At 51.9% G+C, this 27,496-nt stretch overlaps 1 protein-coding gene across 1 annotated transcript in view, besides 5 other annotated features; it reads right to left on the bottom strand.

Annotated features, from left to right (window-relative positions):
• VIL1 (villin 1) overlaps window positions 1-14,499 on the bottom strand; it is a 34,173-nt gene extending 19,674 nt beyond the window's left edge. The window contains exons 1-13 of the mRNA NM_007127.3: window positions 14,454-14,499; window positions 9,769-9,854; window positions 9,271-9,345; window positions 7,811-8,007; window positions 5,549-5,657; window positions 5,285-5,395; window positions 4,135-4,337; window positions 3,947-4,025; window positions 3,675-3,773; window positions 2,744-2,897; window positions 1,665-1,765; window positions 1,439-1,576; window positions 671-829 (exon numbers count right to left, since the gene is read on the bottom strand). Coding sequence (NP_009058.2) covers window positions 671-829; window positions 1,439-1,576; window positions 1,665-1,765; window positions 2,744-2,897; window positions 3,675-3,773; window positions 3,947-4,025; window positions 4,135-4,337; window positions 5,285-5,395; window positions 5,549-5,657; window positions 7,811-8,007; window positions 9,271-9,345; window positions 9,769-9,843 — 1,500 coding nt within the window. The 5' untranslated portion in view covers window positions 9,844-9,854; window positions 14,454-14,499. The remainder of the gene's footprint in view (window positions 1-670; window positions 830-1,438; window positions 1,577-1,664; window positions 1,766-2,743; window positions 2,898-3,674; window positions 3,774-3,946; window positions 4,026-4,134; window positions 4,338-5,284; window positions 5,396-5,548; window positions 5,658-7,810; window positions 8,008-9,270; window positions 9,346-9,768; window positions 9,855-14,453) is intronic.
• Window positions 7,616-7,833: a silencer, noted in NCBI's record as "fragment chr2:219290512-219290729 (GRCh37/hg19 assembly coordinates)". NCBI's record gives its function as "represses an EF-1alpha promoter that drives an FKBP-Casp9 reporter gene in an ReSE screen in K562 erythroleukemia cells {active_cell/tissue: K562}" and the evidence as "EXISTENCE:reporter gene assay evidence [ECO:0000049][PMID:32094911]".
• Window positions 8,716-9,216: an enhancer, noted in NCBI's record as "H3K4me1 hESC enhancer chr2:219289129-219289629 (GRCh37/hg19 assembly coordinates)". NCBI's record gives its function as "activates a minimal SCP1, AML or CMV promoter by ChIP-STARR-seq in naive H9 embryonic stem cells {active_cell/tissue: H9 hESC(naive)}" and the evidence as "EXISTENCE:reporter gene assay evidence [ECO:0000049][PMID:30033119]".
• Window positions 26,554-26,703: an enhancer, noted in NCBI's record as "active region_17124". NCBI's record gives its function as "activates an Ori minimal core promoter by ATAC-STARR-seq in GM12878 lymphoblastoid cells {active_cell/tissue: GM12878}" and the evidence as "EXISTENCE:reporter gene assay evidence [ECO:0000049][PMID:35858748]".
• Window positions 26,734-26,943: an enhancer, noted in NCBI's record as "active region_17123". NCBI's record gives its function as "activates an Ori minimal core promoter by ATAC-STARR-seq in GM12878 lymphoblastoid cells {active_cell/tissue: GM12878}" and the evidence as "EXISTENCE:reporter gene assay evidence [ECO:0000049][PMID:35858748]".
• Window positions 27,054-27,433: a silencer, noted in NCBI's record as "silent region_12321". NCBI's record gives its function as "represses an Ori minimal core promoter by ATAC-STARR-seq in GM12878 lymphoblastoid cells {active_cell/tissue: GM12878}" and the evidence as "EXISTENCE:reporter gene assay evidence [ECO:0000049][PMID:35858748]".

The raw sequence follows: 27,496 nt of genomic DNA, 5'->3' as shown, positions 1-27,496 counted from the left end.
TCCACCAGGCTTCTGATGTTCCCCAGGGAGCCTCTCCCCCAGGCCCTTGTCCTTGCTGTGCCCCCTGCATTGCATGCCCTCATTTTGAACTACTGACCTCAGGTGATCCACCCACCTCAGCCTCTCAAAGTGCTGGGATTACAGGTGAGAGCCACCGCAACCGGCATTTTTTTTTTTTCTTTTTTTAAAGATGGAGTCTCCCTCTGTTGCCCAGGCTGGAGTGCATTGGCACAATCTCGGCTCACTGCAACCTCCGCCTCCCAGGTTGAAGAGATTCTTCTGCCTCAGCCTCCTGAGTAGCTGAGATTACAGGCACCCACCATCATGCCTGGCTAATTTTTGTATTTTTGTAGAGATGGGGTTTCACCATGTTGGTCAAGCTGGTCTTGAACTCTTGACTTCAGGTGATCCACCCGCCTCAGCCCCCCAAAGTGCTGGGATTGCAGGCGTGAGCCACCATGCCCGGCCCAATTACACGTATTTCTAAAGTAACCAAATGGGTTGTTTCTATTACCAGTTCCACATAGGTGATAGAACCTCCAGGGTAGTCTCCTATGAAGAATGGGCTTCACCTCAAGCCCTGCTCCCACCACCCATCCCCTTCTCCATCTCCCGGATGCCTGTCTTGCCACAGTGGTTACTGCCAGACACCTCAGTTCAGCAGCCACACCTGGTAGACCACCATGCGTCCCTTGAAGATGGACATAAGATGAGGTGGCTCCTTGCCCATTGGGACCCGGATCTGGACTGGTTCACCATTGTACTTCTGGTCCAGGATGACGGCTTGATAAGCTGATGCTGTAATTTCATCTTGGCTGGCCTGGCTGCCCTGGGGATGAGCAGGAGGGAGTGAGTGGGATTGGGTCAGCCCCCAATTCTGACCCCATCCTCAGCCTCAGCAACAACTCCATCCTCAAGTCTGAACTGGTCCTAAACCCAATTGTCTTCCCCACCAAACTCCACTGTGAAACAGCCAAAACCCCAATCTGAACCATACCTCAGTTCTGATCTCAACCTCAAACCTAATTCTTTCCCAGACCCAGCCCAGCCCTGACCTACCTGCAACCCCAGCCTTAACCCCAAACCTCCTCCTTTCCTTTCTGCTCCTTCTTCAGGGAGACATCACAGGCACCACACCACTCAGTCCTAGACACACTCCCTGCTCCCTCGCATCTAGACACAAAAACCCATGGGCAGAGCAGGTGACAAGAATGTGCAGAAGGCAATGAAAATTGGAAGGGAGACTCAGAGAACCAAAAGGAAAAGGGCTGTGAATGGGGGTACTAGCGGGACCTCATAGCCAAAGCAGTCCTTCTTGAAGGGGTGAGCACCCCATCCCCAGAGGTATTCAACCCAAGGGTGATGGCCACTTAGCAGGAGTATGTACAAGGCAGAGCTAAGCCGGCTGTGCTCTGGGTGGGACGTGGCGGGACCTGACCTGCCAAACGTAGAGCAGGTAATGCTGCTTCTCGCCGATGAGGTAGGTGTAGAGCAGCAGGTAGCAGTCGCCCCCATAGAAGTGGCCTAGCCACTTGGAATCCACAGGTACCAGCTCTAGGTTCTCAATGCGCCACACCTAGGGCCAGTATCAGGCCAGGGTGAGGTCCAGGACAGGCTCCACCATTCCTGCTCCACCCAGCACGGGCCTCTCTGCCCTCACATACCTGCACTTCCCCACTCCCATCATCTACCATCTTCTGCTGGGCAGCCACCTGAGGCTTGACATGCATGGATGTGGCATCGAACTTCACCTGTTCCACTTTGGCTAGAGTGGGGGAAATCATGAAACCAACTGTCACCAGCTGAGGTCTCCCAGGTCCTCACAACAGCCCTGAATGGTGGCTACAATTCTTAGACTCATTTTCAGATGAGGAAACCGAGGCAAGAGAGATTCAGTAGCTTACCTGGTTGCACAGAATGTGGCAGAGCTACAATAGAGAACCACATCTCCCTCCCTCTAAAACTCCTGCTCCCAGGGAGCCAGGAGAGGCATAAGAGCAAGGCTTTAGCTTTGTTGATCTACGTCCTGACCCCTGCAGCATTCAGACTTCAAGCCTTGACCTTGTCTCCCAGCTCAATAGGGAGCTGTGCAATGTTGGGGGCTGTACACTATTACTTGTCCTCTCCTAGGTGCTGGGCACCGAGCTTGCCCTCAGCAAATACTGGCTGGTAAGAGACTGAAGCTGTTCGGTTTTCAGGGAGGCCCAACCCCATCCCAAATGAAATATCACATCACTGACAGCTCCCCTTTTTTTTTTTTTTTTTTTTTTGAGATGGAGTTTCGCTCTTGTTGCCCAGGCTGGAGTGCAATGGCATGATCTTGGCTCACTGCAGCCTCTGCCTCCTGAATTCAAGCGATTCTCCAGCCTCAGCCTTCTGAGTAGCTGGGGTTACAGGCATGCACCACCATGCTTGGCTAATTTATTAGTTCTTTTTTTCAGTAGAGACGGGGTTTCACCATGTTAGGCTAATCTCAAACTCCTGACCTCAGGTGATCCACCCGCCTCAGCCTCCCAAAGTGCTGGGATTACAGGCATGTGCCACCATGCCCAGCCCTCTCAGCTCCCTTTTTGTGACAACTAGAGTTTGTCCACGTCCCCATCTGCTAGGACAAGCCCAGAGCCAGCGTAAAAGTCTTCGTTGAAGATGCACGTCAGGGAAGGAGGGTGGGTGGTGGACCAAGTGGCTCTCCTGGCCCAGCTCCTGGATCCTGGCTCCCTCACTGCCCCCGCCTGGCCCTCACCCACGGAGCCCACAGTGTGGGTTTTGCCTAGGCCTGAGGTCCGGTTGGACGCTGTCCACTTCTGGAAGAGCTGCTGAAAGACGGCCGACTCAGCCCCATCATTCTGCACCTCCACCTGTGTGCTTGGTGGGTACTGCTTGGCTTTGATGAAGTTCTGGAAGAGAAAGGGGTGGCTGGAAGCTATGCACCTCCCCTAGTCCCCACTCCCAATGCAAGCCAAAACCTAGCTCTAACCTAACCAGATCCACCATCAGATCTACCCCGGCACCAAAACTGAACCCAAACCCAATCCCAATGCTAATCCCCAACCTAACCCTACTCTGACCCCAGCCTCAAGGTCAAATCTGATACCGCCTGAAACCTAACACTGGCCTCAAGACTCACTCTGACCTCAGCTTCAAATCTAATACCGAAACACAACTCTGACCCCAATCCCAAAGCCAAATCTAACGCCTAATGTGACCCTACCTCAATGCTAATCCTAATGCCCAGTCCCCAATCCAACACTGGCCCCAAGCCAGTTAGGGTTACGACTCCAGCCCCAGCAATGACCCCAAACTCTGACTTGGCCCTGGTCTGAGCTGACCCAATCCCCTTTTGTAGGAAGCCAGCCTCCCTCCATTTCTCCTTCCCTTCTCCAAACTCAGCTCAGGTGCAGGGAGGTGAGAGCCCACATCCTGAGGTGGCCCCAGGGTTGCCTGGTGGTTGGCTCCCTGGTGTGCAGAGAACCCCGAAGATGACCACAGAATGGCCCCTCAGGCCCCTCCCATTGGGCCGGGCCCAGCCCTCATCCTGCTCCTCCCAGCCTTCCCTGCCTCTGCCTGGCACTATGCCCTGGTCTGAGCCTGCCTGCCCACCCCATGCTGCTATCTGCTCTCTCCCTCCCATCACTCTGCCCTCCTCCTGGACCCTCCCCCGCCCCCACCACTACCAGCGCATGGCTCATGGCTCCCTTCTTCTCCTGCTCATTGGCTTTCTTCCCTTTCCACACGTAGATCTTCAGGCCCCCCTGGTCCAGGATGTAACAGTCCTAGAGTCGGGAGAGGTAAGAGTCTGATGGAGCTGGAGGTGCTGGACTGGGAAAGCCTCACACACAAAAAAGTCTCTCCCTCCCAGGCCCACCCCAAGCCCCCTGGAATTTTTCCTGCTTGAGGGAAAGGGGGCCAGGCTGCAGTAGGCTGAGGGGTCTCCAGACCCTCTTACCTCGTGACTGAGCAGGTCCTGTGTCAGTGGCCGTGTGGCGACTTCCCTCACCACCAGATTCCCCTCGGAGTCAGACACACTGCAGGACAGAAGCAAGGCATAGATGGGGAGGGGGCCCAAGTCCCTCAGCCAGGGCACCTTCTCCCAGGGAGTCCCCAGCACCCAGGAAGACCCCGCTGGGCGCTCACTGGTACAGTTTGAGTGCAGCCTTGAGTGCCGGCTCCACCACCGTGTCGGGCACGGCCGCCTTCAGCTCCCTGCGCTTGCCCAGCACGTGGTTCATCACCTCCATCAGCTTCGGGGATGCCAATTCATTCTCTCCGTCCACCACGCCTACATAGGTGCGCCCTCCCCGCTCCTGGTCTCGGATCTCCTTGGCCAGAGTCATGCCCTGCAGGAAGGCCCCTGGTGACCCATCGGGAGTAGTCGGGGAATGAGGCAGTGTCTGCCACCCTACACCCTGCCAGGCAAGCCCAGACCACCTACAGCAGCCACAGGGGTTGAGACCCCTGCCCTGCTTTTCCCCGTCGGAGGGGTCAAGCTTTTAAGGCATGTAAGGAAACCAGGGGGAAGGCAGCTGGGAGAGCAGGTTTCCCCACTGTCAGGGAGGTGCTCAAGCGGGCTTGCTGGGCCTTCTGTTCTGACAGTGTGGGAAATGTGTGCTTAGACTTCACAGTTCGGGACACGAGCTGAGCCCCAAGGATCACAGTACTCAATCATGTTCATGCCTGTAATCCCAACACTCTGGGAGGCCGAGGCGGGTGGATCACCTGAGATCAGGAGTTCAAGACCAGCCTGGCCATGGTGAAACCCTGTCTCCACTAAAAATACAAAAAATTAGCCAGGTGTGGTGATGCACGCCTGTAATCCCAGCTACTCGGGAGGCTGAAGCAGGAGAATCACTTGAACCCAGAAGGCGGAGGTTGCGGTGAGCTGAGATTGCGCCATTGCACTCCAGCCTGGGCAAAAAGAGCAAAACTGTGTTTCCAAAAAAAAAATCTCTTTGCACCCAAACATGCCTGCAGTCTCACAGTGCACACACAGCGTCAATGTACTGTGAGTATAAACACACGTATGTCCATGCCCATTTCATTCACCACTGGATCCCTAAGGCTTGGCACAGGCTCTGTCACACTGTAGAGACTCATTCTATCTGAGTGGATTGACCACAAGTACACACACGCAAACTCCAACATGCATGCCTGCACCAAACACATGGAGACTGAGCCACCTTCAAACATGCTGTCCCCAGCAGTCAGCGGGGAGAGGCCTGGGGAAAGGAGCAGGTGGGGGCAGTCTAGGATTCGAGAGGGAGGTGTGGTGCATGGGCAGGTTTACCCTGAGTCTCTCCATACGGGTGCTTTCCGGTCCATTCCACTGGATGATAAGCTTCCCAAGGTCCAGGAGGAAAACATCCCCTCGGTTGAAACTCTTCCAGGACATCTCTACCTAGGGAGCCACAGGGGAGGCACAGACCCCACTCAGAGCTCACCTATCATCCATCATCTTGGCCATCCCTCCCTGCCCCTCACCCCTCCTCAGCCCCTGCCCTCCACCCTGGGCCTCACAGCCCTGGCCGATGCTCCAGTGGGGCCTGCCTACCTCTCCAGCTACCACGTTCCTCTTGCCCTTGACATGCAGCAGCCTCTGGACGTCATAGGAGTTGGTCTCCACGTGCTTCATGCCAGAAGCCACGCCCCCTTTCCGGATCCTGAGAAGAGAGGTGAGCTGACCCAAGGAAGTGGGCTGGGAGGTGTGCCTGGCCCCTGTTCTCCCAGGTCCTGGCTGCCACGCTGGGGTCACGTGAGGGCCAGGGTGGGAGTAGGCGAGGTCAATGAGGTGCTGAGGGCGCAAACTTTAGGGAGTCACTCACTGTCAGGTCCTGAAAGTGCAAGGTCTGCCTGTGGCATGCCCTTGCACGACCCTGACAGTGAGAGCAACCTTAAAGTCTGCACCCTAGATCTTCACTCGTCTTGCCCTAGTCCCTGCCCTGTGGAGAGGCCTGCAAAGATAGGGTCATGATATATTAAGAGTAGGAAATATATTAATAGGCCAGGTGCGGTGACTCACACCTATAATCCCAGCACTTTGGGAGGCCGAGGTGGGCAGATCATTTGAGGTCAGGAGTTCCAGACCAGCCTGGCCAACATGGTGAAGCCCCATCTCTACTAAAAATACAAAAAATTAGCTGGGCATGGTGGCGGGTGCCTGTAATCCCAGCTACTCAGGAGGCTGAGGCAGAAGAATTGCTTGAACCCAGGAGGCGGAGGTTTGCAGTGAGCCGAGATCGCACCATTGCACTCTAGCCTAAGCGACAGAGTGAGACTCCATCTCAAAAAAAAAAAAAAAGGAAATGTATTAATAAATAGGGACAGAATCCTGAGGACAGGGGATCAAAGTGGAAGAAAAGAAAAGAATGGAGAGGTGCCACTCCAGTGCCCATGGCAGTGGACTACTGCCATAGCGTGGGAAGAGAGGAGCAAGACAAAAAAAGAGTGGGAACTGTGGCTAATTAGAGAGCCCTCAGCCTGTCCTACAGGTCAGTAACAACTCAGCTCCAGAGTGTGTGTTTTCCTGGGGAAAGCTAAGCTAGAACTTCAACTTGTATAGAAAAGCCAGCAGTCTGGGCTGGGAGTGGTAGCTCATGCCTGTAATCCCAGGACTTCAGGAGGCTGAGGTGGGAGAATCACTTGAGCCCAGGAGTATGAGACCAGCCTGGGCAACAGAGCAAGACCTTCGTCTCTACAAAATATATATATTAAAAAATTAGTGCTGGCCAGGCATGGTGGCTCACGCCTGTAATCCCAGCACTTTGGGAGGCCAAGGCGGGCAGATCATGAGGTCAGGAGATTGAGACCATCCTGGCTAACACGGTGAAACCCTGTCTCTACTAAAAATACAAAAAAATTAGCCGGACGTGGTGGTGGGCACCTGTAGTCCCAGCTGCTGGGGAGGCTGAGGCAGGAGAATGGCGTGAGCCTGGGAGGCAGAGCTTGCAGTGAGTTGAGATCGCGCCACTGCACTCCAGCCTGGGCGGCAGAACAAGACTCTGTCTCAAAAAAAAAAATTAGCTGGGCATGGTGGCTCGGGCCTGTAGTCCCAGTTACTCAAGAGGCTGAGGTGGGGCCAGACGAAGTGGCTCACGCCTATAATCCCAGCACCTTGGGAGACTGAGGCAGATGGATCACTTGAGGTCAGGAGTTTGAGATCAGCCTGCCCGTGGTGAAACCCTGTCTCTACTAAAAATACAAAAATTAGCCAGGCCTGGTGGTGTGTGCCTGTAATCCCAGCTACTGGGGAGGCTGAGGCATGAGAATCGCTTGAGCCCAGGAGGCGGAGTTTGCAGTGAGCCAAGACTGTGCCACTGTACTCCAGCCTGGGCAACAAAGCAAGACTCCATCTCAAAAAAAAAAAGGAAGAAAAAGAAAAGCTGTCGGTCTTGGTTTTTAGTGTGATAGGCCTGCATTAGAGATGGGGGAGCAGCCATTTGCCCGTTGGCCAGAGTTGGGGGGCTTGATTAGGCACTGAGCTCTCCAGGACATTCAAGTAGGAGCTGATTTACAGAGATTCACGAGAGTTATAGAATTTCAGAACAGCCTCCAGACCAAGGACAGAGCAGTGGCAGAAATAAGAGTTAGGGAGTGGAAAGGTGAGGGACAATCACCAAAAACTCATGAGGGTCCCCCTCGTGCCTCCCCCCACAGCTTCAGGGTCCCTTCCCCGCCCCAGGTCACCTCCCCCTGCTCCAAGTGTTCTTCCCAGGCCTGAACAGGTCTGGGTGTCCCTGCCTCTTCAGCTCAGCCCCAACATCTCTATCCCTACCACTCATCCTCATTCCCCCGGCCTGCAGCCCACCCTCCCTACACAAGGCCTTGCTTGAAGTAGCCTCGGAAGGCCTCGCTCTCGTTGCCCTGGACCTCGCGGTGCTGCACAGCCCGGCCCTTCAGGAAGTCATCCATCTGTGTGGTGTAGATGGCAGCTGCCCCCTGCTCATCCAGGGATGAGTCCTGGCCAATCCAGTAGTGGATGTCATAGGACAGGCTGCTGGCTGTCTTGTGGATCTAGGGAAAAGGTGTCCAGTGTACCCGAGACCCTGGGCTCCCACAGCCCCTCCAGCTCTGTGTGACCTCCCACACACGTGCCGTCCAGGACTATGGGGGAGCGTGGCACAGGGCAAGTGCACTAGGCTGGCGGTTAGGAGCCCTGAGTCATGGCCCAGCTCTACCATTGACTCTCTGAGACATGGCTTCTCCTCTCTGGGCCTCCCTTGCCTCATCTCAGAAATAACTTGCTTGTGCCAGGCACAGTGGCTCACGCCTGTAATCCCAGCACTTTGGGAGGTCGAGGCAAGTGGATCACCTGAGGTCAGGAGTTGAAGACCAGCCTGGCCAACATGGCAAAACCCTGTCTTTACTAAAAATACAAAAATTAGCCAGGTGTGGGGGCAGATGCCTGTAATCCCAGCTACTCAGGAGGCTGAGCCACGAGAATCGCTTGAATCCAGGAGGCAGAGTTTGCAGTGAGCCAAGATTGTGCCATTGCACTCCAGCCTGGGCGACAGAGCGAGACTCTGTCTCAAAAAATAATAATAATAAATACATAAAATAAAATAAAAATTTAAAATGAGTCAATATAAAGAAAAAAATACAAATGTCTTAATAGTACAGGTGGTACCAGGGTATGGTGAAAATCAAGGTGATATGAAGATGACTGCCAGGCTGGGCATGGTGGCTCATGCCTGTAATCCCAGCATTTTGGGAGGCTGAGGCGAGTGGATCACCTGAGGTCAAGAGTTCGAAACCAGCCTGATCAACATGGTGAAACCCCGTTTCTACTAAAAAATACAAAAAAATTAGCTGACTGTGGTGGCACGTGCCTGTAGTCCAAGCTACTCAAGAGGCTGAGGCAGGAGAATCGCTTGAACCCGGGAAGTGGAGGTTGCAGTGAGCCGAGGTCGCTCCACTGCACTCCAGCCTGGGTGACAGAGTGAGACTCCATCCGGAAAAAAATTTTAAAAAAAGAAGATGACTATGGATTGTGGAAATGTGGACTCAAGTTAGGGTGATACGGCAACAACTCAGAAGTTTCCCCAAGACTGTGAATCCACAGAAGTTGACCTCAGCTGGGAGCTCAGTGGATCAAGGGCAGCAAGAGCCTCTGACCTCTGTGAAGCCCCCACAGGGTTGGGCACTTGGGCATACCCAGTAAATTGTGTCTTGGGGTGAAGCCAGGCCAACTCTCCCCACGGCCCCCAGCCTGTTTCCTCCCTGACACCACAGTGGGTTTTGCTCTCTGCTCAGCCCCCTCCCCTGCCCCTGACTCACAGCCAGGATGATGTAGCAGTCACCATCGAAGAAGCTTCCAAAGGTGCTGGAAGGAACAGGCACCATCTGCATGGCCTAAGGAGAGAAAGAGGGTCAGAGGGGCTGCCCTGGACCACCAGGACCCCTAGGCCTGGGAGGAGGGCCCAAGGGGAGGAGGCGTCGGAGACAAAGAGCCGGGCCCAGGAATGAAAGGAGAGAAAAGGAAGAGAGGAGAAGAAAACTGTGAGGGGCGGGAGAAGGAAAATCAATGGAGGGAAAGGAAGGGATGAGTGAGGAAGAGGAAGTGGAGAGGAAGGTTGAGAGACAGAGGGAGAAGAAATGGAGAAAGGGAAAGGGAGACCAGCCGGGGTGTGGATGATGCGGGAGGTGAGGGGCTGAGCTCTCAGGGGCTTCAGGGCAGGAGCAGAGGAAACGAAGAGAAATCCCAGGCCTCCCTCCTTGGCCTTGCCTCCCTCCACCCCAGGCCTGAGCAGCCCCCATGCCCAGACAGGGCCTCACCTCGATCCTCCATATCTGCAGCCCCGGGGTGGTGATGTTGAGAGAGCCTTTGACTTGGGCGCTCAGCTTGGTCATGGTGAGTGAGCCTGGGGGAGAAGGCGTTGGGAGCAGGGGCACCCTGAGTTCGGATGCTGCCCTTCCAGCCTGCCCCTAGAGAACTCCCAACAGTGCCAGGAGGTCGCAGGCTCAGGGGCTTGGGGGAGCACAGAGGGTTACTCCCCACTCAGGGACCATTTCCGCTTGTTTAGTACCAAATCCGCAGTGTCTAGCACAGTGACTTTGCTCAATAAGGAAGAGAGGGGGAGGGAAGGAGTGAGAGATGGATGAATGAATGAACAGAGTGAACCCTCCCACTGTGAACTACTCTCTGCCCGCTAAACTGGAAGGAACCCCCCTCCCCAAGCTTTTCTCCTCATGTCAGCCCTTTCTCCATATTATTTTTTTCTTCTTCTTCTTTTTGAGATGGAGTCCCGCTCTGTCGCACAGGCTGGAGTGCAGTGTCGTGATCTTGGCTCACTGCAACCTCTGCCTCCCAGGTTCAAGTGATTCTCCTACCTCAACCTCCCGCATAGCTGGGATTACAGGCGTGAGCCACCACGCCTGGCTAATTTTGTATTTTTAGTAGAGACAGGGTTTCCCCATGTGGGCCAGGCTGGTCTCAAACTCCTGACCTCAGGTGATCCACCTGTCACAGCCTCCCAAAGTGCTGGGATTACAGGCATGAGCCACTGTGCCTGGCCGGCCCTTTTTGCTTGGACCTGTAGCTGTATTCGCTCCTGCTGCTCATCAGCCTCAGCTGGGGAGCTTCGGAACGTGCTGATGCTCCAGGCTCTGGTGATTCTGATTTAATTAGGCCAGGGTGGGGCTTGGGCATGGGTGCTTTATTTTCTGCCTTTTGGGAGGTGAGGCATGGGTGCTTTTAAAACTCCCCAGTGATTCTGATATGAACTAGGGCAGACAGCCACTAGTGCCCAGTTATTCTCCTCCCTAGTTTTGAGGTTCCTCCTCATCAGGCCAGAGGCCACCCCGATCTCCATGGAGCCTATCACCCAGCCTGGCAGAGAGCTGCCCTCCATGAATGCTCCTTGAACTGATGAATAATGAATGAGAGGGCATGTGGCCGACAGGTCAGGCCTCCACTCGCTGACAGCCTGAAATCTCACTATCTAATCTCTCCTTGCACCTTGACTTTGAGTCACCTCTTAGTGACTTGGCCTTTTAGTACTTAGAAACTCCCTTTTCTGAGCCCTGAGGGGTGGCTGCTGCTTCCCTGGCGTTCTAGAGTTGGAGGTAAGGCCCTGCCCAGTCTCTGATCATTGCCTGCTCCGACTGATTAGCAGCAGCTTGCCGTGTAACTGTAGGAGCCCCTTGGGCTTGGGTCCTGTCTGATGGCCTGTTGGCTATGGCCTTCTCCATCAGGCAACCATGGTCTCCTCCATCAGGTATTTTTCAACCTACCAAGTCCCCAGGGCTCCCAGGATTCCTGGTCCAGCAGAACCAGGTTGGGTATAAAGGAGGAGACCGTTTTCTGTTTCATTTCTGTCATCACCTTTGTCTCTGTCCCCTTCTTTTATTTATTTATTTATTTATTTATTTTTGGGACAGAGTTTCACTCTTGTTGCCCAGGCTGAAGTACAATGGCACAATCTCGGCTTACTTCAACCTCCGCCTCCCGGGTTCAAGTGATTCTCCTGCCTCAGCCCCCCAAGTAGCTGGGATTACAGGCGCGAGCCACCAAGCCCAGCTAATTTTTGTATTTTTAATAGAGACGGGGGTTTCACCATGTTGGCCAGGCTGGTCTCGAACTCCTGACCTCAGGTGATCCACCCGCCTCAGCCTCCTAAATTGCTGGAATTACAGGCGTGAGCCACCGCGCCGGGCCCCGTCCCTCTTTTTCTTTGACACTCACTAGCTGTATGAACGTAGACTTCCCTTCTTCATCTATGAGCTGAGGGGGTCAACTTAGGGGGTTAACTAAATCGATGATCTCTAAAGCCTCACCCAGGGACATGCTGATTCCAGGGTTAACTGGCAGCAAGAGGAATAGAGGGTGGACATGAGCAGGCACTTCTTGCTTATCAGAGAGGGGATTCAGGGGAGCAGAGACTTGAAAAAGCCAGCGCTCCCCCTCCCCAGAGAGAAATCAGGATTGGGGCCAGCCCCCACAGGCCAAAGGTGGGCAAGGGGACTCAGGAGTGGAAGCTCTGAGATGTGGCCCCCCTACCTGGTGTATACCCTCCAGATGCTCCTGCCCTCTACCCATGTTGGTCAGAGCAGATGCCTCTCCTCCACCCCTTGGTAGGGCCTCCTCCTCACTTCTCCTGTCTTCCCTGAACTTCCAGGAAGACCAGGGCCCGTCACTTCCCCCAGCCCTGCCACCGTGGACTCTGGTTTGGATTTGAGTTGTCTCCTCCTTCAGTTTTAATTCACTGGCTTCCTCCACTCCTGGTACTTTCTCTTCTGTGTCCCCAGACCAGGGAAGGGCATGGTCACCCCAAGACCCCAAAGTCAGCCATCTGTGCAGCATCCTGGACTCTTTCTGCTCCTGCCCTTCCATCCACCTAAACTCCCTTGAGTCTCCCCACTACACACAGCCCCCTGGCCCCTCTCTGCTGGCACTCTGCCCTCTAGAAATGCCACACTGCTGGCGGCCCCACCCCCATGCTGCCTCTCACCCCACGCCTGCTTGCACTGCTCCAATATGGAAAGCTCTCCCCACCTTTCTGACACTAACATGCTCTTCTAGACTCAATTTAGATCTCATTTCTTCCAGGAGACCTTCCTAGAATCCTCAGCTGGACAAGGGGCCCCTCTGCATCCTGGACTGTCCCTTCTCTTGGCCCCCTGACCACATGGTGATGAAATAACCTGTTTGTAAGTTGGAGGTCCCTGAGCTCCAAGACCTAGATATGTTTGTCTTTGCAGCCCCCAGCTCCTAGCACATAGTAGGTGCTCAACAAATACTCATGGGCTGGGCGTGGTGGCTCACGCGTGTAATCCCAGCACTTTGGGAGGCCGAGGCAGGCGGATCACGAGGTCAGGAGATCAAGACCATCCTGGCTAACACGGTGAAACCCTGTCTCTACTAAAAATACAAAAAATTAGCCGGGCGAGATGGTGGGCGCCTGTAGTCCCAGCTACGCGGGAGGCTGAGGCAGGAGAATGGCGTGAACCCAGGGGGTGGAGCCTGCAGTGAGCTGAGATCACGCCACTGCACTCCAGCCTGGATGAAAGAGTGAGACTCCTTCTCAAAAAAAAAACAAAAAAAAAAAAAACAAATACTCATGATGCTGAAAGGCTGAACTGTGGGATGGAAGGAGGACCCTCCCAGGGCACTGGAGGGGTTTGGGCTCCCACTGTCTGCAGGTCCATCTTGCCTTTCTTTCTTTTTTCTTTTTTTCTTTTCTTTTTTTTTTTTTTTTTTTGAGACAGAGTCTCACTCTGTCACCCAGGCTGGAGTGCAATGGTGCAATTCTGGCTCACTGTCATCTCCGCCTCCTGGGTTCAAGCGATTCTCGTGCCTCAGCCTCCCGAGTAGCTGGGACTATAGGCGTGCGCGAGCACACCCAGCTAATTATGTATTTTTAGTAGAAACGGGGTTTCACTATGTTGGTCAGGCTGGTCTTGAAGTCCTGACCTCAAGTGATCCACCCCACTTGGCCTCCCAAAGTGCTGGGATTCCAAGCATGAGGCTCTGCACCTGGCCCACCATGCCTTTCTTATCTGAGCCCTGTTGTACTTGAGTTGCGGCTCTGTTGTAAGTGGGGTGCTGCCACGGCTCCTAGTTCCCAGTCGTGCAGCTCTGAGCTGGACAGGAATGTGGTGGGGCAGTGGGGGTGAAGTCCCACCCCTCAGACAAAGGACATCCTCCTGCTTCCCAGGCTCATGATAGAAGAGGGAATGGACACCCGCCAAGACCCTCCAGCCCAAAGGCTCTGCCCCAGCAGATGATGTCCCGAGAAGACAGCAGCCAGTGTGTCCTCAGAGCCTGGTCTGCAGCTAGCTCCCATTCCTAGTTCTGCTGAATGGGCCCACAGTGGCTGGGGAGGCCAATGGGGCAGCTCCGGGTAGAGGGGAGATGGGGCAGAGGTGCATGCTAGGGTGGCCCGGCATGGCCCAGGACCTAAGGCCCTGCCACCTCCAGCCCCTTGCCTCTGCCCTTGCCTCTGTGTGTGCCCATTCAATTGCTGGTGGCTGTTGCTCATATGCTAGGAGCCAGGAGGCAGGACCCGGAGGTCCCAGGAGTGTCAGAGGAATGGTGACACAAAGAAAAAAACACTTCAGATGAAGAACGCACGGGCAAAGAGATGAGCTGGTGGGGAGGGGGCTCGGGGAGTGAGGTCAGGGAGACCAACTAGTCCCGGTCTGCCCAGCACTGTCCTGGTTTTAACTCTAGAAGTTCCAGGGCAATTGGGATGGTGACACCCAAAGTGGGATGGGGCTAGCCACAGGTAGGAGACTGAGAGAGCCATTGTCTGGGGCAGGGCCTGCAAAAGTCTCTCCCTGGAGGCCCAGGGCAGACACACTGGGCTCCCAGCACTTCTCACGCTATCCAGAGTGTCAAGCCTCCCCTTCGAGCCCGTACCAAGGTGCTCCAGGAGGCCCCAAGTTGCCCGAGAAAAGCAGAGGACCCCGTCCCCTCGCACCACCTAAGGTCTCCATGTGTTCCCACCAGGTTGCCTTACCTGTCTTGGGGAGGCAGCTGCCACCTGGGAGATCTCAGGGAATTGTGGCAAGCTGGCTGCAGAAGAGCGACCTTTGTCCCCACCCCCCCTCCTCTAGGAACTGCCTTCACCATATAAGGGAAGATAGGGCCCCAGAGAGGTGAGGGGGTGGGGAGGCAGGTGCTGCCAGGTCCCTGGGAGCCCAGAGCCCTCCACAGCCTGACAATGAGAGCTGATGTGCCCCACCCTTGGCTTTTTTTTTTTTTTGAGCCTCACTCTGTCATTCAGGCTGGAGTGCAGTGGTATGAATTCGACTCACTGCAACCTCCGCCTCCCAAGTTCAAGTGATTCTCCTGCCTCAGCTTCCCAAGTAACTGGGACTACAGACATGTGCCACCATGCCTGGCTAATTTTTGTATATTTAGCAGAGACAGGGTTTCACCATGTTGGCCAGGCTGGACTTGAACTCCTGACCTCAAATGATCCACCTGCCTCGACCTCCCAAAGTGCTGGGATTACAGGTGTGAGGCCCGGCGCCCAGCCCCTCCCTTGGCTTCTGAGTGAGCAAGGGATGGGGTGCTTTTCTGCCCAGGGCCCAGGCCCTCACCACAGGCAGACAGCACTGTCCAGGTAGGGTCAGCGGCGCCTGAACCTTTCCTCCTACCAACCAAGAGAAGGAGGCTCAGCTGTCCTCCCACCTGCCCTGGGGTGAATGGTTCATGGAGAAAGAGAGGCAGGACTCTAGGGTTGCAGAAGCCCCAAACCCAGGAATGCAGGGACTTATACTCAGGGCCCCTCCAGAACAGATGGGAGGTCTCTTAGAGGTCTCCTAGAGGTCTCTTCTCAGCATGACCCTCACTTAGCAAGGGCCCCAGTGAGCACAACTGCTCCTCCTCTCCACCCTTAGGGGCACTGGCTCCACCTGGAGTGTTTTTTTTGTTTTCGTTTTTTTTGCTGAGATGGAGTCTGTCTCTGTCGCCCAGGCTGGAGTGCAGTGGCGTGATCTCATCTCACTGCATCCTCCGCCTCCTGGGTTCAAGTGATTCTCCTGCCTCAGCCTCCCGAGTAGCTGGGATTACAGCCGCACACCACCACGCCCAGCTAATTTTTGTATTTTTAGTAGAGACGGGGTTTCACCATGTCGGCCAGGCTGGTCTTGAACTCTTGACCTCGTGATCCGCCCACCTCGGCCTCCCAAAGTGCTGGGATTACAGGCGTGAGCCACTGCACCCGGCCCACCTGGAGTTTTTATGAGATGCCATAAACCAGTGCCTTTGAACTCTGTTCTGCTACCCTCTCCCAGAAGCCAAGGTTTCCATGTCTGACCCCTGACCCTAGGGGATCCATCTCACTCAGGCAGGAAAGTTGTGCAGCCAACTCCAGCGTGGATCTCGCTGAGAAACCAGCTTCACACGCAAACTCAGCACCTTGGGCAGCTGCCTCCCAGACTGCAGAAATTCTCCTATCACCTGTGAAGCCTGGTCCTTAGGAGGGTGACGTGAAGTGGGCTGGGTGAGGGCAGTACGTCCTTCTCATCACAGCCTCCCAAGAGTTCTGGAGACCAAATGTACAGTAGTCCCCCCCTTATCCAACGGGGGATACATTCCAGGACCCGCAGTGGATGCCTTAAAACCTCGGATCGTACCGAACCTGGCTGCCATCAGCTGGAGCATGTTTCTGTTCGTGTCTTCCACCCACAAATTGAAGCCCCTTCTATTTTCATTAGCACTTATCCTGCACTGTGGCTGCATTTTGCAGTTTGAGGTACACCAGCAAAATTAACACAAATTTCTGTTTCCTTCTTCACAATTTCATGAACAGAAGATGCATTCTTATCATAGATCTTAGCAACCTCAGTATATGATGTTTTTTGTTCTTTCCTTATTGAGAACTATTACCTTTTCATTTAAAGGAAACATTTTATGGCTTCTTTTTGGCACTTCCAAATTGCCAGCATCGCTACTCTTGCATTATTTAGTAAAATAAGTGTTACTTTGGGTGGGGGGTTGTCTTTATTTTTGTTTTTTGGAGATGAAGTCTCGCTCTGTCACCGAGGCTGGAGTGCAATGGCATGATCTCGGCTCACAGCAACATCTGCCTCCTGGGTTCAAGCAATTCTCCCATCTCAGCCTCCCGAGTAGCTGGACTACAGGTGCATACCACCACACCCAGCTAATTTTTCTTGTATTTTTATCAGAGACATGGTTTCACCATGTTGGCCAGGCTGGTCTCAAACTCCTAACCTCAAGTGATCCGCCCACCTAGGCCTCCCAAAGTGCTGGGATTACAGGCGTGAGCCACTGCGCCCGGCCCAATAAGGGTTACTTTGAACACAAGCCCTGCAATGCCATGACAGTGGATCTGATAGCCCACACGGCTGCTAAATGCCCATCAGGGAGCATGCAGCATGTGGAGGTAGTGGACAAAGGGATGACTCACGTTTCAGGTGGGATGGAGTGGGGCGGTGGGAGATCCCATCACGCTACTGAGAATACTGTGTAATTTAAAACTTATGAATGGTTTATTTCTAGAATTTTCCATGTAGTATTTTCAGAACATGGTTGACTATGAGGTACCTGAATTGGTGGATAAAGGGAGACTGCTGTGTGTTTGCGCACATGTGGGCATGTGTGCACTATATGTGTGTGCACACGCTCATGTGTTGTCTGGAAAGAGGAGTAAACACTGGAGTTGCTATTTTGTTTCTTTTAAAAAAAAAAATCGCTGGGTGTGGTGGTGCACACCTGTAATCCCCGCTACAAGGGAGGCTGAAGCACAATAATTGCTTGAACCCGGGAGGCAGAGGTTGCAGTGAACTGAGATTGTGCCACTGCCCTCCAGCCTGGGTGACGAAGTGAGGCTCTGTTTTGAAAAATATACACATATATAAATATAAAAATAAAAATATATAATCCTGCCTCCTATGTCACAGGTTATGAAAAAAATAACACTTTCTTGTGAATAAAAAGGAGTATATATATATATATATATATATATAGAGAGAGAGAGAGAGAGAGAGAGAGAGAGAGAGATACACTCGATTACAAGGACAAGAAAAAGGAAGGTAAAAACTCACCTATATTTTCAATATAGAGATATTCTCCAGATAAATCACTGTCACTGAATTGTTTTGGAATATTTCTTTCAAGTCATTGTCCAGTACAGGTAGATACCTGTCTGTCTGCATGTTCATATATATATATATATATATATATATATATATATAGAGAGAGAGAGAGAGAGAGAGAGAGAGAGAGAGAGAGAGAGAGAGAGAGAGATGGAGTCGCACCCTGTCACCCAGGCTGGAGTGCAGCGGTGCAATCCTGGCTCACTGCAACCTCTGCCTCCTGGGTTCAAGTGATTATCCTGCCTCAGCTGCCCAAGTTAGCTGGGATTACAGGTGCCCGCCATGATGCCCGACTAATTTTTGTATCTTTAGTAGAGACGGGGTTTCACCATGTTGGCCAGGCTGTTCTCGAACCCCTGACCTCAGGTGATCTGCCTGACTCAGCCTCCCAAAATGCTGGGATTATAGGTGTGAGCTACCATGCCTGGCCTATGTGCATATATTTTTAACTGTCATATGATATATCTTATTTTGCAATTTCTTTTTTTTTTTTTTTTGAGACAGGGTCTTGCTGTGGCACCCAGCCTGGAGTGCACACTGGTGTGATTATGGCTCACTGCAACCTCGACCTCCCTGGACTCAATGATCCTCCCACCTCAGAAGTAGCTGGAACCACAGGCACACGTCACCACATCTGGCTAATTTTTGTTGTTGTTGTTGTTTGGTAGAGACAGAGTTTCCACTATGTCGCCCAGGCTGCTCTCAAACTCCTGGGCCCAAGCAATCCACCTGCTTTGGCCTCCCAAAGTGCTGGGATTACAGGTGTGAGCCACCGCACCCAGCAACTTCATTTTCAGTTGTTTTATAGTAATTCATTAGACAGTACAGTTTATGTAACCAATACCTCATTATTGGACTTCCAAATTATATCCAATTATTTGATACTACAAAGAATGTTGTGGCAAATATTCTTATTGCTAAATATTTGCCATTAGATTACATTCACTATCTCTTTGGGATAGATTCAAAAAAGTAAGGCCGGGCGTGGTGGCTCATGCCTGTAATCCCAGCACTTTGGGAGGCCGAGGCAGGCAGATCATGAGGTCAGGAGATCGTTTCAAAACCATCCTGGCTAACATGGTGAAACCCCGTCTCTACTAAAAACACACACAAAAAAAAAACAAAACAAAAATTAGCCGGGCGTGGTGGCGGGTGCCTGTAGTCCCAGCTACTCAGGAGGCTGAGGCAGGAGAATGGCATGAACCCGGGAGGCGGAGGTTGCAATGAGCCAAGATCGCGCCACTGCACTCCAGCTTGGGCAACAGAGCAAGACTCTGGCTCAAAAAAAAAAAAAAAAAAAAAAAAAAAGTGAGATTGCTGAGTCAAAGATGTGAATAGGAAAACTGTCTTCCAAAAAAGCTGCATGAATGGATAGTCCCGCCTGCAATACATGAGTGGCTGAATCTCCACCTCTCCCCAGTGCTCTGGTACAGTATCGATGAAGCTCTCTATCAGTTTGATTGACAAAAAAGAAAACAGTCATTGTGTTGATTTATGTTTTTTTATTATCAGTGAGACAGACCATTTTAAACTATATTTATTGGCTATGTCTCCCCTTGTGAGTTTTTAATTAATTTGTTGGGATTGTTTATATAGTTAATGTCTTAAGGCTGGTAATTTGCCTACCATTTATGTGATACTTGTCTCTAGTTTCTTGCTTGCCTTTTAATTGAGCCGGGAGAATCTTTTGGTGAACATGTTCTTAAAAATTGTTTCCAATGTCTTTGTTATGATAAATGTCAAACACATAGAAAAGTGAAAATAACAGTACATGGACTTAAGCATTAACATTTATCATATTGTTTATTTATTTATTTGTTAAGACTGTATCTCACAGGCTGGAGTGCAGTGGCACGATCTCGGCTCACTGCAACCTCCGCCTCCCAGGTTCAAGCGATTCTCGTGCCTCAGCCTCCACAATAGCTGAGATTACAGGCATGCACCACCATGCCCAGCTAGTTTGTGTATTTTTAGTAGAGACAGGGTTTCATCATGTTGGCCAGGCTGGTCTAGAACTCCTTACCTCAAGTGATCCACCCACCTGGGCCTCCCAAAGTGCTGGGATTACAGGTGTGAGCCACCATGCCCACCCCAACCATTTCCTTTTATTGTTATATCTCTTCAGTGTTTTTCTTTTGTCTACAGTAATTTTATTTATTTTAATTTTATTTATTTATTTTTTTTTTGAGATGGAGTCTCGCTCTGTTGCCAGGCTGGAATGCAGTGGTGCAATCTTGACTCACTACAACCTCTGCCTCCCAGGTTCAAGCAATTCTCCTGCCTCAGCCTCCCCAGTAGCTGGAACTACTGGTGCGTGCCATCACGCCCAGCTCGTTTTTGTATTTTTAGTAGAGACGGAGTTTTACCATGTCGGCCAGGATGGTCTTGATCTCTTGACCTCATGATCTGCCCGCCTCAGCCTCCCAAAGTGCTGGGATTACAGGCATGAGCCACCGCACTTGGCCTATTTATTTATTTTTATTATTATTTTTTGAGACAGAGTCTTGCCCTGTTACCCAGGCTGGAGTGCAGTGGCGCAATCTTGGCTCACTGCAACCTCTGCCTCCTGGGTTCAAGCAATTCTTCTGCCTCAGCCTCTCAAGTAGCTGGGATTACAGGCACCCGCCACCATGCCTGGCTAATTTTTGTATTTTCAGTAGAGATGGGGTTTCACCATGCTGGCCAGGCTGGTCTCGAACTCCTGACCTCAGGTGATCCACCTGCCTTGGCCTCCCAAAGTGCTGGGATTACAGGCATGAGCCACCACGCCCAGTATTTTTTACATGTAGTATATGCTGAACATTTTGTCTTCAGTATTTTTTAATCTCGAAGAGTTCTTTCACATTTCCCCCCCATGACATTGACTTACCTGAGTCAAAGACAGTTGCCCTGTAGAATGTTCACATTGTGGAACTGAGCCTTTCCTTACGGTATTATCTAATTTGTTACATTTCCTTCTGCACTTCCCACAAACTGAAAGTGCAACTAGTAGGTCCTGGTTAAACTCTTTTTTTCTTTTTGAGACAGAGTCTCGCTCAGTCACCCAGGCTGGAGTACGGTAGCACTATCTCGGCTCATTGCAATCTCTGCCTCCTGGGCTCAAGCGATTCTCCTGCCTCAGCCTCCCAAGTAGCTGGGATTACAGGCGCCTGCCACCACACCCAGCTAATTTTTGGTATTTTTAGTAGAGACAGAGTTTCACCATCTTGGCCAGGCTGGTCACAAACTCCCAACCTCAGGTGCTCCGCCCTCCTCTGCCTCCCAAAGTGCTGGGATTACAGGCGTGAGCCACTGCACCCAGCCTAAACTCTTTTTTCAAGAATACTTCATAGAACAGTGCTTCTCAAACTGTAATGTTGTTAAGAATCACCTAGAAATCTTTGTAAAGTACCTATTCTGGTTCAATAGAACTGGTGGGGAGGGGAGCTGAGATTCTGCATTAGTAGCAAGTTCCCAGGTGATTTTGCCTTTCCAGGTGATTTTCCCAGTTGAACCATTCTTTCAGTAGCATGCTCAAAGGTATTGACTTTGCATGGCATCAGAAGGAATATATAATATCAAGTCATCCCTGCATGAGTGTTGCAAAGGTGGATCCCTTGGTTACAGCAGTGCCAGGCAGATACCCTTATGTTTGTTGTTGTTTTAGATTGGTGAACTACCCATGTCCACAGATACCCTTCTGTATTGGAAAGGCACAGCTCCCCCTTTACAATTAGAAGTCATCTTGGGGCCGAGTGCGGTGGTTCACACCTGTAATCCCAGAACTTTGAGAGGCCGAGGTGGGCAGATCACTTGAAGTCAGGAGTTCGAGAGCAGCCTGGCCAACACGGTGAAACCCCATCTCTACTAAAAATACAAAAATTAGCCAGGCATGGTGGGGCGCACCTGTAGTCCCAGCTACTCAGGAGTCTGAGGCACGAGAATCAGTTGAACCTGGGAGACGGAAGTTGCAGCGAGCCGAGATTGTACCACTGCACTCCAGCCTGGGCAACAGAGCGAGACTCCATCTCAAAAACAAAAACAAAAAAACACAAGGCTGGGCACAGTGGCTTATGCCTGTAATCCCAGCACTTTGGGATGCCAAGGCAGGTGGATCACTTGAGGCCAGGAGTTCAAGACTAGCCTGGCCAACATGGTGAAACCCTGTCTCTACTAAAAATACAAAAATTAGCCTGGGTGGTGGCAGGTGCCTGTAGTCCCAGCTATTCGGGAGGCTGAGGCCAGGAAAATTGCTTGAACCCGGGAGGTGGAAGTTGCAATAAGCCGAGACTGCACCACTGCACTCCAGACTGGGCAAAAGAACGAGACCCTGTCTCAAAAAAAAAAAAAGAAAAAGAAAAAGAAAAGAAAAGAGAAAAGAAAAACAAGAAGTCATCTTGGGGTGACAATTTGGCAGCACAAGTTTTTGATTTTTTACTTACCACTTTCTACTTCTTTTATAATACTCATTTTTAAATAACTTTTCCTTCATCTTACAGTGAAGTATTAATTACTTTTTATTTTTATTTTTCAGACAAGGTCTCACTCTGTTGCCCAAGCTGGAGTGCAGTGGTGCAATCAGGGCTCACTACAGCCTTGACCTCCTGGGTTCAAGAAATCCTCCCACCTCAGCCTCCAGAATAGCTGGGACCACAGGCTCTCGCCACTACCTCTAGCTAATTTTTTGTACTTTTTGTAGAGATGGGGTTTTGCCATGTTGCCCAGGCTGGAATGGAACTCCTGGGCTTAAGCAATCTGCCCACCTGGGCCTCCCAAAGTGCTGGGATTACAGGCATGAGCCACCGCACCTGGCTTACTTTTTATGTCTATTACCCCTCCCTCCCCCAGTGTTTTACTCCCTCTGTCTCACCCCAGTGTTTTACTCCCTGCTACACCCAGGAACCTGGTGCATAGTAGGCATGCAATGAATATTTAAAGGAAAGAAATGGAAATGGAACTTATGATTTCTTTTTTTTTTTTTTTAGACAGGGTCTCACTCTGTCACTCAGGTTGGAGTGCAATGGCGCGATGTCGGGTCACTGCAACTTCCGCCGCCCGGGTTCAAGTGGTTCTCTTGCCTCAGTTCCTAAGTAGCTGGGATTACAGACGTGTGCCACAACGCCCAGCTAATGTTTGTTATTTTTAGTAGAGACGGGGTATCACCATGTTGGCCAGGCTGGTCTCAAATTCCCGACCTCAAGTGATCTGCCTGCCTCGGCCTCCCAAAGTGCTGGGATTACAGGGGTGAGCCACCATGCCTGACGGAATTTATTATTTCTATCTTGGCTATTATATTTAGGAAGCTGAGTGAGTGTGTTTTAAATTTGAACTCTTTTTATTTTTATTTTTTATTTATTTGGTTTTATTGAGACGGAGTCTTGCTCTGTTGCTCAGGATGGAGTGCAGTGGCATGATCTTGGCTCTGCTCTGTCTCCCAGGTTCAAGCGATTCTTCTTGTGATCCACCTGCCTCGGCCTCCCAAAGTGCTGGAATTACAGGTGTGAGCCACCACGCCCAGCCTATTTTTATTTTTAAAATTGAATAAGGCGGAGTGTGGTGGCTCATGCCTGTAATCCCAGCACTTTGGGAGGCCAAGGCAGGCAGGTCACCTGAGGTTGGGAGTTCGAGACCAGCCTGGCCAACATGGTGAAACCCCGCCTCTACTAAAAATACAAAAAATTAGCGGGGCGTGGTGTCAGGTGCCTGTAATCCCAGTACTCGGGAGGCTGAGGCAGGAGAATCACTTGAACACAGGAGGCAGAAGTTGCAGTGAGCCAAGATCGCACCACTGCACTCCATCCTGGGCAACAAGAGTGAAACTCTGTCTCAAAAAAAAAAAGTAAATAAAATAAAATTTAGTAAATGTACCTGGTAAAATAATTCAAATTACAAACAGATATGTAATAACATGTGTCTCTTATACATTAGATGAATCTCACTCCCCCAGCCTCACTCCCCAAGATTAGCCACAATTATCTTCTCAGAGTAAGTGAAAGTATATATTTATATTTGCGTCTATTTTTATATTTTGCCTTAATAGGAGTACACCATCATTGTTATGAATCTTGCCTTGTTTCATTTAACAGTATCTCTTGGAGATCATTCTATATCAGCTTGTATAGTTCCTCCTCATAGTTTTCACGACTACATGGTATTCAATAACAAAATGTATTTAACCAGTTCTTTATTGGTGGACACTTAGATTATTTTAAGTGTTTTGCTATTACAAATGATACAATGGGCTGAGTGCAGTGGCTCAAGACTGTAATCATTGCACTTTAGGAGGCTGAGGTGGGTGGATCACTTGAGCCCAGAAGTTCGAGACCAGCCTGGGCAACATAGTGAGACCCAGTCTCTATTTTATTATATTTTATTTATTTTTGAGACAGTGTTTCGCTCTTGTTTTGCCTAGGCTGGAGTGCAATGGCAGGATCTTCGCTCACTGCAACCTCTGCCACCCGGTTTCAAGCGATTCTCCTGCCTCAGCCTCCTGAAGTAGCTGGGATTACAGGAATGCGCCACCACACTCAGCTAATTTTTTTTTTTTGTATTTAGTAGAGACAGGGTTTCACCATATTAGTCAGGCTGGTCTTGAACTCCTGACTTCAGGTGTTCCACCTGCCTCGGCCTCCCAAAGTGGTGGGATTACAGGCATGTGCCACCGCACCTGGACCTATTTTTTTTTAAATAAAACAAATTTTAAAAAATGATACAATGGGCCAGTGGCGCATGCCTGTAATCCCAGCACTTTGGGAGGCTGAGGCAGGTGGATCACGAGGTCAGGAGATCGAGACTATCTTGGTTAACATGGTGAAACCCCATCTCTACTAAAAATACAAAAAATTAGCTGGGCGTGATGGTGGGTGCCTGTAGTCCCAGCTACTCGGGAGGCTGAGGCAGGAGAATGGCGAGAACCCGGGAGGCTGAGGCAGGAGAATGGCGAGAACCCGGGAGGCAGAGCTTGCAGTGAGCCGAGATCATGCCACTGCACTCCAGCCTGGGCGACAGAGCGAGACTCCATCCAAAAAAAAAAAAAAAAGTTGTCTGCATTAAAAAAATATTTTTGGCCAGGTGCGGTGGCTCACACCCGTTATCCCGGTGCTTTGGGAGGCCAAGGCGGGTGGATCAGAAGGTCAGGTTTGAGTTTGAGACCAGCCTGGCCAACATGGTGAAACCCTGTCTCTACTAAAAATACAAAAAATTAGCCGGGTGTGATGGTAGACACCTGTAGTCCCAGCTACTCAGGAGGCTGAGGCAGGAGAATCGCTTGAACCCATGTGGTGGAGGTTGCAGTAAACGAAGGTCACTGCTCTCCAGCCTGGGCAACAGAGCGAGACTCTGTCTCAAAAAAAAAAAAAAAATTTTTATATACATATGGATATTCTCAAATCACTTTCCAAGGAGGTTGCACCAGTTTACAGGCCTGTTTCCCTACATCCTCTGGAGTGATTGTGTGTGTGTGTGTGTGTGTTACAAGCAAACAGGGAATCTCTGCCCCACACCAGGCTCTAGTAGAGACATTTTCACATCTGACATCTCCAAAGCCAGAAGACATCACCTTCCTCCAACTCCTCCACTCCTGCCCCCAGGGCCAGCTAGCCACCTCTTCCTGCCAAGTTTATCTCCTATGTCACATCCATCCCTCCTTCCTTTCCTCTTTTTTGAGACAGTCTTGCTCTGTCGCCCAGGCTGGAGTACAGTGGTGTGATCTCGGCTCACTGCAAGCTCTGCCTCCCGGGTTCAAGTGGTTCTCCTGCCTCAGCCTCCTGAGTAGCTGGAATTACAGGCGCCTGCCACCACGGCAGGCTAATTTTTTTTTTTTTTGAATTTGTAGTAGAGATGGGGTTTCGCCATTTTGCCCAGGCTGGTTTTGAACTCCCGAGCTCAGGCAATCTGCCCGCCTCGGCCTCCCAAAGTGCTGGGATTACAGGTGTGAGCCACTGCACCCGGCCCCTTCCTTTCCTCTTTATTCTGCCTAAGTTCAGGTCTTCATCCTCCATGTTTGGGACCACGCCTGTGGTCTCCCAATAGGGTCTTGTATCCTTGTACGCCTAATTTAGCTTCCAACGTGCAGCTGCCAGGTTTCAGCACAGCTCACTCCTGCTCAGGGTTCCTCAAAGGCACCCTCTGCCTGCAAGAAAAAGGCTACTCCCAGCCAGGCGCGGTGGCTCACACCTGCAATCCCAGGACTTTCAGAGGCTGAGGTGGGAGGATCGCTTGAGCCTAGAAGTTCCAGACCAGCCTGGACAACATAGTAAGAACCCATCTCCACAAAAAAAAATTTAAAAATTAGCCAGGCGTGGTGGTGCATGCCTGTAGTCCCAAATACTCCTACAGGCTGAAGCGGGAGGATGGCCTGAGCCCAGGAGGTTGAGGCTGCAGTGAGCCATGATCATGCCTTTGCACATTAGCCTGGGAGACAGAGACCTCGTCTCAAAAAAAAAAAAAAAAAAAAAAAAGAAAAGAAAAAAAAGAAAAAAAGAAAGGCCACTCCCTTGGTCTGGCCATAGATCTGCATAATCTACCCCCTCCTGCATTCTGCGGCCTCATTTCCTCATTTCCAAACTCCTCTGAGCCTCGCTACTGCAGGGAGTGTTTTCCAATCCTCCAGGGCTGCCCAAGTAGGGCTAGGTGTCCCCTGTCCTCACCCGCCTTCCATGGTTCTCCCGTGCTGCATTTGCAGAATTGCAGTGACCATCTGTTCACGTTTCTTTCTCTCCACCCTAGGATGTGAGTTCCCTGAGAGCAGAGGCACAGCCTGGTCCTGGCACGGTGCCTGGCACACAGTACGCACCCGATACATGTGGTTGACTTGAACTTCATGTGGGTACAGGGTGTGTAGGTGGTGGTGGTGGGGAAGCCTCACTGTGGTCTCAAAGTCTGGAGCTCCTTTGCGTGTTTATCTGGCCTCTGCGATGCACATCTGGGAGGATCAGTGTTTGCATGGAGAGCAGGAAATAAGAGCAGGACCCGAGGATGAGGGCAGAGACCGGAGAGGACTGTGAATTTATATAGCCAAGGGCTCTTGTGGTCCAGCCCAGGCCAAAACTGAGACTAGGGTAACTGCAGGTTTTTCCAGGGTGCTTCTTGAATCTTTTTTACCAGAGAAAAGTAGTGGAAGGAGGACAAAGGGCGGCTTCACACAGCGCTGACTCCCCCTCACACAGACTTGGGGACCGATCAGCGTCTGGGGCACCAAGAGGCCGCCTGGGGGCTGGATTCAGGAGGTAAGGTGTTGAGCAGACACGATGGGGAGGTGGAGCTGGGGCGCAGGCACCAACACCTGAGAGGCATTTCCCCCTTCTTCCCTGGGTGTGTGCGGTGGGGGCTCCAGAAACGCCCGACCCCCGGGAAAGGGGTGAGTGAGGTGGGCCCCATCTTTCCAGCCCCCGGGGAGTTCCTGCGTCCGCGAGGACAGGGAGGCCTCTAGCGGCTGGCGTGGGAAGCAAGCAAAGGCTGGCTGGGGACGGCGGGAGGGCATTTCCTGCCGGCGCCTGGGGCCGCGCGGTTTCGCAAAGGAAGTGCCTCCCGGACGCGGGGCGGGGCGGGAAGTGGGGCGGGGGCGCGGCCAATGGCTGCTCAGAGGCCGCAGAGGGGCGGGGGGGGCCGAGCCCCGGCGCCGGCCCCACCCAGGCCGCCCGGCAGAGCCAGGCGCCGGAGCCCGCCGCACCCAGGCCAACAAGTTCTGCCGCTGGAGCCTCCACCCAGAGCCTCGCCCCGCTCCCCGCCTCTGCCTTCGGAGCCGCACAAGCCCCGCCCCTCTGCTCCAGGGCAGAGGCCACGCCCCCTCCCCCGCCGCATTCCAGGACTGCCCCTACCCAGGCCTTCGAATTTTGCTTTCCAGCTACTAGTATCCTGTCGTCTGTGTCCAGGCACTTAATTAGTCCTGCCAATAGGGCACATCTCCATTTTGCAGACCACATACCCGAGGCGGGAAGACGTAGACGAGCACAGCCTG

The sequence above is a fragment of the Homo sapiens genome, chromosome 2 (genome assembly GCF_000001405.40).
Source record: "Homo sapiens chromosome 2, GRCh38.p14 Primary Assembly".
NCBI lineage: Eukaryota > Metazoa > Chordata > Mammalia > Primates > Hominidae > Homo > Homo sapiens.
The sequence above is the reverse complement of the archived record's forward strand: the minus strand, read 5'-3'. Positions and strand labels throughout refer to the sequence as shown.